The 15,552-nt window shown below is 43.5% G+C and overlaps 1 protein-coding gene across 14 annotated transcripts in view, besides 1 other annotated feature; it reads left to right on the top strand.

Annotated features, from left to right (window-relative positions):
• Positions 1-15,552, top strand: part of SLC26A5 (solute carrier family 26 member 5) — a 93,478-nt gene that overhangs the window by 47,179 nt on the left and 30,747 nt on the right. For 5 of the 14 annotated variants that reach the window (NM_206884.3, NM_206883.3, NM_198999.3 and 2 more), the window contains exons 9-14: positions 1,015-1,097; positions 5,963-6,110; positions 7,294-7,407; positions 8,523-8,600; positions 9,605-9,700; positions 9,915-10,021. In NM_206884.3, coding sequence (NP_996767.1) covers positions 1,015-1,097; positions 5,963-6,110; positions 7,294-7,407; positions 8,523-8,600; positions 9,605-9,700; positions 9,915-10,021 — 626 coding nt within the window. Of the gene's footprint in view, positions 1-1,014; positions 1,098-5,962; positions 6,111-7,293; positions 7,408-8,522; positions 8,601-9,604; positions 9,701-9,914; positions 10,022-15,552 lie in introns of those variants that run through there. The other 9 variants (NR_135802.2, NR_120441.1, NM_001321787.2 and 6 more) reach the window with 6 other exon arrangements.
• Positions 10,233-10,527: a silencer, noted in NCBI's record as "tiled region #10264; HepG2 Repressive DNase matched - State 5:Enh". NCBI's record gives its function as "represses a minimal TATA promoter and a strong SV40 promoter by Sharpr-MPRA in HepG2 cells {active_cell/tissue: HepG2}" and the evidence as "EXISTENCE:reporter gene assay evidence [ECO:0000049][PMID:27701403]".

Below are 15,552 nucleotides of genomic sequence, written 5' to 3'. Positions count from 1 at the left end.
ACTTAACCACTGTATAAAATTATAGCTCCAGGAGCTTGAGCCATATATATTCTGTGGATTTGAATACTCTAGGCACTCCCCTAGTTAGAGATGCACAAAAAATGCAATTAAGGGTGATGAAAATAATTGTCATCAACAGAAAAGGATCCTCCCATCAAAAGAGCCAGAATCACCCATGCCCCTGGTCTCCCAGGCTGCTGTTTCTGATAATAAGTTTATTATTTGTTTCCTGCAGTGGCCCTCCTCAGGAGGGGCTGGCTTCCTTCCCTGGCCAGCTCTAATTTCTTCTCTGTTGGGTAACTCACTCAGAAAGCTCTATAGGCAATAGTTCCTGGGCGTGGAGCAAATTGCTATCTCACCTTTTGTTTTGTTTCTCTTGCAACTCATTAGGGATTGTACTTTACACCCCAAGTAAATCTATGCCCTGCCAATCCAGGATGGGCGTATGTAAAGTGACCCTCTGTTTGATGTACCCTTCTACCCTGACTTTGTAGCTGAAATGAGAGGAGACAGCTATGGGTTGCTGCTGGGGCCCTATCACCACACTTAGGGCTGCTGTCCCAGAAACAGGATCACCAGGAGGATTCTAAATCCAGATGTACATTTTGTAATCATACAGTGTCATTGTACCACCCTCGAAGTACAGAGTTAAATATCCTTTATTCATAACATTGTGGCCAGAGACTCATTTCACCACCCTAAAGGTAAGGTCAACGTTTGAAAGGCTTTATGGCCTTTTTCTGTAGCAGTCAACTAGCCAGACGCCTTAGTATAGAAAAGGACAAAGCATGAAGAAAATGCCAGGTCATAAACTCTGTAGAGTTCATTTTAATTATGTGGGGTAGGGTCATTAAGAGAAGTTAGAATTGTTGAAGCTAATGGTAAATCTTCTTTTTAAATCTGAATGTTAAAAGTGAGAATAGATTTGACTTGACTAACATATTATTTGAAGCTGATTTTTGCAGTATTTGAACATTCATCTCTAAAGGTGCATTTGGATTTGTGTCTTTTTAGGTCGTAATGGGAACTGGCATTTCAGCTGGGTTTAACTTGAAAGAATCATACAATGTGGATGTCGTTGGAACACTTCCTCTAGGGTAGGAAAGTGGTTTTAAGTAACTGTGTGACTGAAATAATCAATGGATCTATTGCCTCTAACTCTTACATTAGTTCTCTTGCAATGAAAAATAATCTTTTTTCTATACATCAAATAGCTGAGGGCTTTAGGGGGATTGGGTGCATTTTATTTTTATTTTTATTGTAGTAAAAAACACATAACAAATTTTTGTCTTAACCTTTTTTTTTTTTTTTTGAGACGAAGTCTCACTCTGTCGCCTGGGCTGGAGTGCAGTGGCGCCTTCTCTGCTCACTGCAACCTCCGTCTCCCAGGTTGAAGCGATTCTGCTGCCTCAGCCTCCCAAGTAGCTGGGATTACAGGCGTATGCTACCACACCTGGCTAATTTTTTTTTTTTTTTTTTTTTTTTTTTGAGATGGAGTCTTGCTCTGTCCCCCAGGCTGGAGTGCAGTGGCATGATCTCGGCTCACTGCAAGCTCCGCCTCCTGGGTTCATGCCATTCTCCTCCCTCAGCCTCCCGAGCAGCTGGGACTACAGGCACCCGCCACCACGCCCGGCTGATTTTTTGTATTTTTAATAGAGACGGGGTTTCACCATGTTAGCCAGGATGGTCTCAATTTCCTGACCTCGTGATCCACCCGCCTTGGCCTTCCAAAGTGCTGGGATTACAGGCATGAGCCACCACACCCGGCTAATTTTTATATTTTTAGTAGAGACAGGGTTTCTCCATGTTGGCCAGGCTGGTCTCAAACTCCTGACCTCAGGTGATCCGCCCGCCTCAGCTTCCCAAAGTGCTGGAGTGCTGGGATTACAGGTGTGAGCCACTGTGCTTGGCTTTTTTTTTTTTTCTTTTTTTTTGAGACCGAGTCTCACTCTGTTGCCCAGGCTGGAGTGCAATGGCACAATCTCGGCTCACTGCAACCTCTGCCTCTGAGGTTCAAGTGATTCTCCTGCCTGAGCCTCCTGAGTAGCTGGGATTACAGGTGTGTGCCACCACATCCAACTAATTTTTATATTTTTAGTAGAGACAGGGTTTCACTATGTTGGCCAGGCTGGTCTCGAACTCCTGACCTCATGTGATCCGCCCGCCTCAGCTTCCCAAAGTGCTGGGATTATAGGCATGAGCCACCACGCCCAGCAAATCTTAATCATTTTTAAGTGTACAGTTCAGTAGTGTTAAATATATCCCCATTATTGTAAAGCGTATCTCCAGGACTTTTTCACCTTGCAAATCTGTAACTCTCCACCCCTTAAGCAAGAGCTTCCTCTTTTCTTCTTCCCCCAGCCCCCAGTAACCACCGTTCATCTTTCTGTTTTTATGAATTTGACTTCTCTAGATGCCTCATGTAAGTGGAATCATACAGCATTTGTCTTTTCGTGACTGGCGTATTTCACTTAGCATAATGTCTTCAGAGTTTGTCTATATTGTAGCATATGACAGTATTTTCTTCCCTTCTTAAGGCCGAATAATATTCCATTGTGGATATACACTGTATTTTATTTCTCCATGCATCCACTGATGAGCACGTGGGTTGCCTTTACCTCTTGGCTATTGTGAATAGTGCAGCTGTGGATATGGGTGTGCAAATATGTCTTTGAGACCTTTCTTTCAGTTCTTTTGGGTATATACCTGTAAGTGGGATTGCTGGATCTGTTTTTACTTTTTTGAGAGCCTTTCATACTGTTTCCCATAGTAGTTATGCCATTTTACAGTCCCACCCATAGTGGCAAGTGGTTTTCTGTTTTCTTTTGTTTTCCTAAATTTAATAGTTTTAAAAATCTCTCCTTGAATGACATGGGATTTAAGAGCAAAACAACCTAAATCCTAGCCTGCCACGTACTAGCTGTGTGATCTTAAGCAGGCCACTTATCCTCTCAAAGCCTCCATTTCCTTACCTGCCAGGTGGCCATGGTAATTAATACTTATCTCAAGGGCAGTTGTGAGAGCTACAGGAGATAATGCATGGAAGGCAATGAGTGAACACCTGAAGACACAGTAAGCATTCAAGTCGTGTTAACTACTTATTAGTAATGGGTTCTAAGGCTGTTATTTCAGTGAGTTTTTAGTTTCTAACCATGTTACTTCTTTGCTTCATCTATATTATCTAACTGTACATTTTTAAAACATATTATTGGCCGGGCACGGTGGCAGACTCCTGTAATCCCAGCACTTTAGGAGGCTGAGGCTGGTGGATCACAAGGTCAGGAGTTCCAGACCAGCCTGGCAAACATGGTGAAACCCCATCTCTAGTAAAAATACAAAAATTAGCCGGGCATGGTGGCGGGTGCCTGTAATCCCACTATTGGAAGGCCAAGCAGGAGAATCGCTTGAAACCAGAAGGCGGAGGTTGCAGTGAGTCAAGATCACGCCATGGCATTCTAGCCTGGGCAACAAGAGCGAAACACCATCTCAAAAAAAAAAAAAAAAATTTATATATATATATATATATACATACATATATATGCGTATATATATATGTATATATATATATAAATCTACTTGTCACTATAATTTCTACTTAATATCTTCCTTTCCCTATTGCATTGTACTCAAACATACTGCTTCCCTTCTGTATGTGACAGCTTAACTAAAAAAAAAAAAAAAAAAAGACCTTACGTTTCTGGAAACAGGCTATCCAGAGGAGACCTTATCTTTCTGGAACATTGCCCAAAACCAAGTAGGTAACAAATACCTACCTACCTATCTACATACAATCATACCATTTCAGTTCCCTGTGAGTCTTATTGCTCCACTGATAACAGGCTAACCCAAAACAGTGACTTAAAACAGCCACCATTAATTTGCTCATAATTCTTTAGTGTAGGTTAGGCTCAGTTGGGTGGTTCTTTGGCAGGTCTCACTTGGGGTTTGTTATGCATCTGCAGATGTCTGCAGGTGTGACTAGTGTTGGAGGATCCAAGAGGGCTTCACTCACGTGTCTGACACTTCATCTGGAGTCACTGGAACAGGTGAGGGCTAGCAGGCATCTTCTCTACATGTGGTATCTCCAGCAGCATTGCCAGACCTCTTTACATGGTGGCTCAGAGCAACAGGAAAGAAAAGCAGAGAATTTACCAGGCCTCTTAAGGCACTCATACAGCATCACTTCCACCACATTCTGTTGCTCGAAGCACATCACGAGGCCAGCCCAAATATAGCTGGAGGGGAAACAGATTCCCCATCTAGATTTGGGGAGTGACATGCACATACAAGTATGGGAGGAATGACTGGTGGCCTATTTGGAGGCAAACTACCATGCTTCTATATACACGTACCTACACATATAAATGCATCTGCTGTAGACAAGCAGGTTCTTCATGGTTTTGTACTTGGTAAATGAGCAGTGCATTTTGCGGTGCCCAGAAAGTGACAGTTGACTATTAAAGATCCCAATCATAGCACTATATCCTGTTTTCTTGTTTGTTTGTTTACTTTCCTTAACTTGTTCCAAAATATGTCCTTTTCTTATATTCTTATTCCCTTAGGCCCAAACCTGCTGCTAGGCCTTCCCTCTTAGTTCATGCCTGTGCAGCAAAGAGAAGGGAAGGACAACAGGTTTTATAGCCAGACCCCCCAGGTTTGACTCCCTGCTACAGTTTAGGAAAATCACTTAACATCTGTCAAAATCCATTTTTTCACCTACAAATTGGGATAATAGTAGAACCTATGTAATGGGAGTGCTGTGAGGGAAAATGAGACGACTTATGTAAAGCATGTAGCAGGTAAACTCACCTTAACAGGCATTAGGTTCCTTTCCCTTTCTTCCTCTGTTTCCTTACTTCACGATGTGAAACATCCCTTCCGTCACTGTGCTATGACATAGTAAGAGAAATAGCTGTGGCCAAGCAGGTTCTTTATGGTTTTGTTGTACTTGGTAGATGAGCTGCTTGTCCTTGGACAAGTTGCTGAACCTTGCTATACCTCATTTTCTTCATCTGTAAAATGGGAATTACAGTGGTGCCTAGTTCACAGGGCCATTGAAAACAATTAAATGAGCATAGAACCTGGCACAGAGAAAGCATATAATAAATGCTTGTTATTGTAATAATTATAATTATTAGTATCAGTTAAGTTATTGTTATTATTGTTTAGCCCAATGCCTTGAATTGGAGGAGAATGTCTGCAAATCCCTATTGCCCCTTCCCCCATAACATTCTAGGGAATCCCTATTCTGTTTCTTTAGGATAAGGATCCCAGACTACAAGTATGTACCACAAAAGCTGGGTTCTCCATTGTGGGATTCCAGGAGTCACACTTTTATCTCCTCCAGATTCACAAGATTCCCAGGTGACACCCAAGGAGTATAGTCTTCTGCTGCTCCTTTCCCATGTTACAACCTCAGCTAATGGGATAAAACACACACACACACACACACACACACACAGGAAGAGGTAGCACACTCAGAGTCCTTACATCAGATGACAAGGGGGAGAAGTATGGGGTGCCTAGCATTGCTAGGACATTAATTCTCCTCTAAGGTAGCCCTTAGACTACTCTCCTCCCCACCCCAAGACTTGGGTTCAGATGCCTGGTGGCATCTGAGCACTTTGCTGACCCTCGCTTCTTCCTGGTTTCTGTGTCTTACTTACACTTGCCATCAGGGTGCCATGAGGTATGAGGTTACTCCTTTTATAAATAAAACGGCATCTGATCTCTTCTGATAACCCATCCAGGTAGAAAGCTGCACTTTGCAGTTTGAGCCTGAAAAGAATTTCTCTGCGTCAAGGAGGGCCCTCCTTTTTGCCAACCAGAGCAAATAAGTATCCAAGCATTGATTACTTCATTTGCAGATAATGCCCCCCTAAAATGCTTCCCTGCAGTCGCAAGGTTTTTTTTCTTTTCCCTTGTGGTCACAACACAAGTTAAAGGCAGCTTGACTTTTCAGGCTGCTACCTCCAGCCAATCCGGACACCAGCCTCTTCCACCTTGTGTACGTAGATGCCATTGCCATAGCCATCGTTGGATTTTCAGTGACCATCTCCATGGCCAAGACCTTAGCAAATAAACATGGCTACCAGGTTGACGGCAATCAGGTAAAGATAATCAGTTTCCTGCACATGTTTCATAGCAGTACAATCACCAATGTCTGGCTCACGCCTGTAATCCCAGCACTTCGGGAGGCCAAGGCAGGCGGATCATGAGGTCAGGAGATTGAGACCATCCTGGCTAACATGGTGAAACCCCATCTCTACTGAAAATACAAAAAATTAGCCGGGCATGGTGGCAGGCCCCTGTAGTCCCAGCTACTCGGGAGGCTGAGGCAGGAGAATGGCATGAACCCAGGAGGCGGAGCTTGCAGTGAGCCGAGGTCGCGCCGCTGCACTCCAGCCTGGGCGACAGAGCGAGACTCTGCCTCAGAAAAAAAATAAATAAATAACCAAGGTCGGTTATGGAAGGCACAAGAACTAATCTATCTTGGTAGAAAAACTTTTTGTACTGGTGATTGATGTATCTGAAGCATGTACTTATTCAGTCTGCAATGTTACTCCTGTTTTTAAAGCTCACAGCTTAGGATTAAATGTTTTTCCAGGGCGTTTTTGCTCCCTAGGAAGGTTTATCTTTGTTCATTAAATATTGGGTATCTGATTCATCACTAACTCCACAATATTCTCTTTGTCACCTACTTTTATAACGCAGCCACAGATAAGGTATTTAATCCAAACACTGTGACCTATAATGTTGACATAACAATGTCTATTTCAATCCTTATGTATTCTAAGGAGAAACTAGATGCTCCACATTCATCTGAGATGCAGTTGTCAAACTAGAAATATGCAAAGTAAACCTAAGAGCAGGACTCACTTGCCCCAGGAAGACACTGGCATGTACTCATTTGTGAGCAATAGCCCAGGCATTAAAAAGATGCCAAGAGTCCTATACAACAATAACTTTCTCTTCAGCAGTAAAAATAGTTGATCCCTTTTAGTGCAGTTTTCTTCTTAAGCGTTATTTATGTAGAGGGTGTGTTTGGAAAGGAGGCTGAGCAGGGAGCCCAGCGTTTATCTCTGACAAAATAAAAATTCAAAATGTTCCCCCCTCTCACTATAAAATATGCCATAATTCCTATTTTGAACTCATGCTGAACAAATTCTTACATCTGAAAGGAAAATGAAGAGATAGGCTGTAGTGCTGACAATGTGTATTAAATGGGCTATTATGCTTTTTTTTCCTGAAGAATGACCTATCTCTTTTGTGTTTTGTTTCTACATGGGAAAGGAGCTCATTGCCCTGGGACTGTGCAATTCCATTGGCTCACTCTTCCAGACCTTTTCAATTTCATGCTCCTTGTCTCGAAGCCTTGTTCAGGAGGGAACCGGTGGGAAGACACAGGTATGTACATAACAGGCCTCTAAGACCTGATGATATGGGTGGTAATTAAATTTTAATCTTTTGATTATATTCTGAACCCAAACAAAGCTACTCTGGCCTGCAGATCCATGCTCCAGTGAGCTGTGTAGGGAATCAGAGAAAGGCATGATTGGTTGAAGTGAATCACAAGGAACTGAATCTATAGGAAAGAGGTATATTCTCCAGTTACATTGGAAAGTTATGCAACACTCGGCTACCAGTAAACTTCAAAGTTCAGACATAGAATATTGTTATGAAAGCCTGAGACTGAGTATGGGCAGTATGCCATCACCATCCAGTAGAACTTTCCGCAATGATGGAAATGTTCAATATCTGCACTGTCCAATATGGCAGCCACTAGCAACATGTGGCTCTTGAGCACTTGAAATGTGGTTAGTTCGACCAAGACCTGACTTTTAATTTTTACAAATGTAAATGGCCGGCCAAGTGCGGTAGCTCATGCCTGTAATCGCAGCACTCTGGGAGGCCAAGGCGGGCAGATCATGAGGTCAAGAGATCGAGACCATCCTGTCCAACCTGGTGAACCCTGTCTCTACTAAAAATACAAAAATTAGCTGGGCATGGTGGCGGATGCCTGTAGTCCCAGCTACTTGGGAGGCTGAGGCGGGAGAATCGCTTGAACCCAGGAGGCAGAGGTTGCAGTGAGCCAGGGTCGCGCCACTGCACTCCATCCTGGCGACAGAGTGAGAGTCTGTCTCAAAAAAAAAAAAAAAAAAAGTAAATGGCCACATGTGGCTACTGGCTCCCATATTGGACAGCAGACACTTATCTGAACTCTTCTGGTGGCCCTTGTAGGTCTCAGGTTGGCACCAGACATCTTTCCTCCACCTCTGGAAAGGGCATTTTAATTAGGATATTACAACATTTCAGCTTCCATTTAAAAGCCATAAGAAGAACCAAAACTTCAGAGAGGGAGTGTGATGGAGCTATAGGTTATGTAGTGGTTTAGTTGACTTATTTGAATCCATATTTTCTTGATCTTCCCATAGTAATTATCAAAAGAATAAAACCAACTTATGCCCTGCCTCTTATTCAAGTCTCCTAAAAGCCCCTTCCATGTGTCTTCTCTCATTCAGCTTGCAGGTTGTTTGGCCTCATTAATGATTCTGCTGGTCATATTAGCAACTGGATTCCTCTTTGAATCATTGCCCCAGGTGTGTGTAATGTGGACTTGGGTGAAGTTTTTTTCATGTGTAGAGATTTTGCTATTTTATTTGTTTATGTTCTTATGGCTATATTAGGGTTATTTACTGTAACCCTCACAGGATGGTATGAGAAAGGGCCAAGGCTAGGACCAAGATCCTGCTCTATAACCTACTGACAGCTGCCTGCAGGACCTGGGGAAAGCCATCTTAACTCCTCTGAGTCTCGGTTTCCTTATCTGCAAAGTCGGGGTTTGGACTGGCTGATCTTGAACATCCCTTCTCTCTTTGACCTTCTATGACCTTGTACTTTCATAAAAAACCTGAGATGGTCTACATTCATAAGACATTTACATGATGGTATATTTAATCTAGTAGAGATCAGGAACCATATAGAGTAGAGAAGATCATAATGTAGAAAGACCATAGGTGAAATAATTCCTTGAGTACCAAGTTTAATTCTGAACCTCTTGGCCACCATGCAGGTTTGCTATTAGGATATAAGAATGATTTCCAGCCGGGTGTGGTGGCTCACACCTGTAATTGGCACTTTGGGAGGCTGAGGCGGGCAGATAACCTGTGGTTAGGAGTTCGAGACCAGCCTGGGCAACATGGTGAAATCCCGTCTCTACTAGAAATACAAAAATTAACTGAGTGTGGTAGCACCCACCTGTAGTCTCAGCTATTCTAGTGGGAAGGTTGAGGCAGGAGAATTGCTTGAACCTGGGAGGCAGAGGTTGCAGTTAGCCAAGATTACGCTACTGCACTCCAGCCTGGGCGACAGAGCAAGACTTCATCTCAAAAAAAGAAAAAAGAAAGACTGATTTTCCAAGGCCCCTTTTAGCTAACCAGGTCCTGAAAATCCAGGTGTTCATGGCTTCAAAGCTACCATCGGTGCCATATAGGAAGTGAGTAGGGAGAAGGCATGGGGAGGACAGCAGGAGGACAGTGAGGAACCAGCAAAGGACACTCTGTGGACACAAGAGGAGAGGCATGGGGGATGTGCTCTGTTTCAGGCTGTGCTGTCGGCCATTGTGATTGTCAACCTGAAGGGAATGTTTATGCAGTTCTCAGATCTCCCCTTTTTCTGGAGAACCAGCAAAATAGAGCTGGTAAGTAACAAAGGTGATGGCTCTGTTAATATGTCATAGAGCAGATATGATTAGTGCTAAGAAAAATGTGAGAAAGATAAATTAATGCAGTTGTTATGTGCAGTATCCAGTTAGACAAGGTAAAAGTAGCATGTGTGTGTGTGCACACTTGTGTGTTTAACTCTTGTGGGATGTTTAACATGGTTCTCCATCAAGTTTTCTGTCTTTTGCTTAGACCATCTGGCTTACCACTTTTGTGTCCTCCTTGTTCCTGGGATTGGACTATGGTTTGATCACTGCTGTGATCATTGCTCTGCTGACTGTGATTTACAGAACACAGAGGTGAGTGCCCAGATTGGAATGGGTGTGAATGTCCCGGCAGAGATGACAATGTTGACTTTAGGTGTAGACCAAAGTTTAAGTTGGTAGAAGTGGAGCCCTTTGATGATTTCTAGTTAGCGTGAGAGGGAGCTATAACACTCATGTAGCCTGTTGACTAGATGAACAAAATGCCAATTTAAAAATTCCATATAATTTTGCCAAATGCTCTTCTATGTCACAATTTATGCTCCCATCAATGGTTATGTTAAAAGAGCCTAATTTCCATCATTGTTTCTGCCATTCCTGGTCTAGTGCTATGCTGGTTTATTTATCCTCTTGTGATTTGTTTTGGCACCAAGTACTGACATGAGTTTCAATGACATGAAGCAAACTCTGACACCAAGTTATCGTATGCATTCCTTCCACTGTCATTTCCTCCACCCTGAACCACTTTCCCTTGTTATCTCTTCTCCCTAGTAGGAAGCTGAGCCCACTAGGGAAAGTATAAAATAAATTAAAAAAATATATGGTTGGGTGCAGTGGCTCACGCCTGTAATCCCAGCACTTTCAGAGGCCAAGGCAGGCGGAACACTTGAGGTCAGGAGTTTGAAACCAGCCTGGCCAACATGGTGAAACCCCATCTCCGCTAAAAATACAAAAAAAAATTAGCCAGGCTTGGTGGCACACACCTGTAATCCCAGCTACTTGGGAGGCTAAGGCAGGAGAATTGCTTGAACTCAGGAGGTGGAGGTTGCAGTAAGCCAAGATCACACCACTACGCTCCAGCCTGGGCAACAGAGCAAGACTCCATCTCAAAAAAAAAAAAAAAAAAAAACTTTATGGGCTGGGCACAGTAGCTAACACCTATAATCCCAATTCCAGCCCTTTGGAAGGCTGAGGTGGGAGGATCACTTGAGGCCAAGACCAGCCTGGGCAACATAGCAAAACTCCATCCCTAACAAAAAACAAACAAACAAAAAAACACCTTTTTGTGATAAATCACCATAAAGATGAAAAGGAAACATTGTCATAGAAATAGCCTGGACTGGCCAGGCACAGTGACTCTTGTCTGGAATCCCAGCACTTTGGGAGGCCAAGGCAGGTGGATCACAAAGTCAGGAGTTCAAGAGCAGCCTGGCCAACATGGTGAAACCCTGTCTTTACTAAAAATACAAAAAAATTAGCTGGGCATGGTGGCGTGCACCTGTAATCCCAGCTACTTAGGAGGCTGAGGCAGGAGAATCGCTTGAACCTGGGAGGCAGAGGTTGCAGTGAGCCGAGGTCGTGCCATTGCACTCCAGCTTGGGCAACAAGAGCAAAACTCCATCTCAAAAAATTTTTTAAAATAAAATAAAGAAATAGCCTGGACTTTAGTCAGGTCCTGGCGGCACCTTCTGTAAGCTCTGTGATTTTGCATGCCTCTCAGAGCCTGTTTCTGCATCTATAAAATGAGACTAATACTTCCTACCTCATATAGTTACAATAAGGCTTAAATGACAAGGCCTGCAAACAGCCAGCACAGTGCCTGACAAGTGCTACCCACTCTACCAATGCCAGTGCCCTTCCCGCTCTAACACAGAGGGAAATGAAAATGAAGCTAGTGTGGTTTTGCCTATGGTTGCAAATCACATGAAACCTTAAAGTTGTGACTGTGATGTGTTGAAAGGGCACTTTATGAGGATGTTGACCCCTTATCTGCAGGAGGTCAGGATGCTCCCCACCCTCAAGGGTGGGAAATGAGCATTTTCATCATCACAAATGACATAACAGAAAAATGTTAAGAATATGTGGGATTCTAAACTCAGGATAAGAATTTAACTACCTTTAATAACAAGTTCCAACACTGTTGCCCGTATTTATCTAAAAGAAGTGTTTCCCATTTTTATAAAGAACTTTATTAGCATATGTAAGAGTTCTTTATCTCAGAACTTTGGTGAACATTATGGTTTTAAAATATCTATAACTTTTGGCCAGGTGTGGTGTCTCACACCTGTAATGCCAGGAATTGGAAGACTGAGGCAGGCAGATCACTTGAGGTCAGGAGTTCAAGACCAGCCTGGGCAACATGGCAAACCCTCATCTCTACTAAAATTACAAAAGCGAGCCAGGTGTGGTGGCGAGTGCCTGTAATCCCAGCTACTCAGGAGGGTGAGGCAGAAAATTGCTGGAACCCAGGAGGTGGAGGTTGCAGTGAGCTGAGATTGAGCCATTGCACTCCAGCCTGGGCGACAGAGTGACACACGTCTCAAAAAAAAGAAAAAGAAAAAAAAATCTATAACTTTTAACAAGCTACAGTATAGAATTTGAGAATTTTTTTGCTGGTGGTGGTGTTTTTTGTTTTTTTTACTGAATAGGATTTTATGGTATCTTATCATAAATTTTATTTATTTTTATTTACTTAGTCTTTATTTTTCTAACACTAGAGAACTCACTTGAGTTATAAAATTTTTTTGTTTGTTTTCTTTTGAGACAGAGTCTTGCTCTGTCACCCAGGCTGGAGTGCAGTGGCATGATCTCGGCTCACTGCAACCTCCACCTCCTGGGTTCAAGTCTTCTGCCTCAGCCTCCTGAGTAGCTGAGACTACAGGCGCGTGCCACCACGCCCGGCCAATTTTTTTTATTTTTAGTAAAGACAGAGTTTCATCGTGTCAGCCAGGATGGTGTCGACCTCCTGACCTCGCAATCTGCCCACCTCGGACTCCCAAAGTGCTGGGATTACAGGCATGAGCCATCGTGCCCGGCCGGTTATCATAAATTTTAAAGTCCAGCAAGTTTTTTTTTTTTAATGCTCCAGTTTGTGCTGGGTGCAGTGGCTCACTCCTGTAATCCAAGCACTTTGGGAGACTGAGGCAAGCGGATCATTTGAGGTCAGGTGTTCAAGACTAGCCTGACCAACATGGTAAAACCCTGTCTCTACTAAAAATACAAAAAAAAATAGCTGGGTGTGGTGGTGCACACCTGTAATCCCAGCTACTGAGGAGGCTGAGGCAGGAGAATCGCTTAAACCTGATAGACTGAGGTTGCAGTGAGCCAAGATCACACCACTACACTCCAGCCTGGGTGAAAGAGTGAGAGCCTATCTCAAAAAAAAAAGAAAGAAAGAAAAAAGCTCCCGTTTGGGCAACCTGGTAAAACCCCATCCATACCAGAAATACAAAATATTAACTGGGCATGGTGGTGCACACCTGTGGTCCCAGCTACTTGGAAGGCTGAGGTGGGAGGATCACTTGAGCCTAGGAGGCAGAGGTTCAAGTGAGCTGAGATGGCACTCCTGCGCTCCAGCCTGGGTGACAGAGTGAGACCCTGTCTCAAAAAAAAAAAAAAAAGAAAAGAAAAGAAAAAAATAAAAGCTCTACTTCTCTTTCTTCCTCAAATAATAGTTAACTGAAGTTGATATTTTTTATGTTCTATCCTTTGTTGGTGATTTTGCTGGGTCTTTGTATGTTAGAGTTTAGGAGATCAGCACTCAGGGTATGTGTTTATTTTCAGCTGGCTTCTTCTGTAATTAGGGCACACTTCTGGAGAGGGGTAGAGGTGCACTGGGTTTGGCCGTTTGTTTGAAACACTCATTTTCCCTCAGAGCAGGCATAGTTAAGAGACAATCATGGCCCGGCCAGCTGTAAACCCAGCACTTTGGGAGGCCAAAGCAGGTGGATCACGAGGTCAGGAGATCGAGACCATCCTGGCTCGATCAAAAAATTAGCCAGGCGTGGTGGCGGGCGCCTGTAGTTCCAGCTACTGGGGAGGCTGAGGCAGGAGAATGGTGTGAACCCGGGGAGGCGGAGCTTGTAGTGAGCCGAGATCACGCCACTGCACTCCAGCCCAGGCGACAGAGCGAGACTCTGTCTCAACAACAACAACAACAACAACAAAGAGACAATCACATCATTCTGCAGATAATTCCTGAATTCAGGCACTTGCATGTGTTATAAATATGACAGAGGTTCAGCTTCTGCCCCCCAAAGCTCACAATTTGGTTAGCATTATAAAATTTTAAAAATTATAATTTCTCTAAATAGGTATTTGTTGAGGGCCTATTATATTTCCAGGGAGATGCTAGACTCTAGGGACAGTGCAGTATATAAGACATGGTCCTTCCCCTCAAAGGTTGCGTTGTCCTAAGGATGACAGACACGTAATCATGATGATGATGTTAATAAGGACAATGAAGTAATGATGGCACAAATTATTATAATTACTTATGTGCCTGGCTCTGTGCAAAGATCAATGCTCTATGCCATTTCATATAACCTTATAAACCTATGACAATCAGCAACCCCATTTCACAGATGTGGAAGCTGAAGCCTAGAATGATTGGGTAACTTGCACAAGATCACAGTAAGTGGTGAGGCAATGACTCAGATGTGAGTTTTTGCAAATCCAGAAGCTGACAAATCAGCACTTTTTTTTTTAAGACAGAGTCATGCTCTGTCGCCCAGGCTGGAGTGCAGTGGCATGATCTCAGCTCACTGCAACCTCCACCTCCTGGGTTCAAGCAGTTCTCTGCCTCTGCCTCATCCTCTTGAGTAGCTGGGATTACAGGTGCCCGCCACCACACCCAGCTAATTTTTTGTATTTTTTGTAGAGATGGGGTTTCACCATCTTGGCCAGGCTGGTCTTGAACTCCTCACCTCGTGATCCACCTGCCTCAGCCTCCCAAAGTGCTGGGATTAGAGGCATGAGCCACCGCGCCCAGCCTCAATCAGCATTTTATAATCCATCTTCAAAAAATTAGAATATAGGCCAAACACAGTGTCTCATCTCATGCCCATAATCCCAGCAATTTAGGAGGCCAAGGCAGGAGGATTGCTGAGGCGAGGAGTTTGAGACCAGCCTGGACAACATAATAAGACCATGCCTCTACCAAAAAAAAAATTTTTTTTATTTTATTGTTTTTAGAGACAGAGTTTTACTTTGCCACATGGGCTGCAGTGCACTTGTACGGTCACAGCTCACTGCCACCTTGAATTCCTGGGCTCAAAGGATCCTCCCACCTCAGCCTCCCATGATGGGCACACACCATCACACCTGGCTAATTTTTAAATTTTTTGTAGAGATGGGGTCTCGCCATCATGCTCTGGCTGGTCTTGAACTCCTGGGCTCAAGTGTTCCTCCCACCTCAGCCTCCCAAAGTGCTGGGATTACAGTTGTGAGACATTGCATTGTGAGACCTACAAAATTTTTTAGTTGGCAAGGTGTAGTGGTGCACCCCTATAGTCCCAGCTACTCAGGAAGCTGAGGCACAAGGATCACTAGAGCCTAGGAGTTCAAGGCTACAGTGAGCCATGATCAGGCCACTGCACTCCAGCGTGGGCCACAGAATAAGATCCCATCTCTAAAAAAATAAATAAGTAAATAATAAAACAAAAATAAATTTTTAAAGACTTAGAATACACAGTTATAAGTGCCTCAACAGGTGTAAGCAAGGTACAGTGTGAGAAGCATAAGAGATGCCAAATAAAACTGCATGGGATTTCATTAAAAGAGACTTTCTTGCTCTTGGTGTCATTAGGGAAGTAGTAAGGACTTGGCCTTCACTGGGAGCAATAGTA

The sequence above is a fragment of the Homo sapiens genome, chromosome 7, assembly GCF_000001405.40.
Source record: "Homo sapiens chromosome 7, GRCh38.p14 Primary Assembly".
NCBI lineage: Eukaryota > Metazoa > Chordata > Mammalia > Primates > Hominidae > Homo > Homo sapiens.
This window is presented reverse-complemented; position numbering and strand designations above follow the sequence as displayed.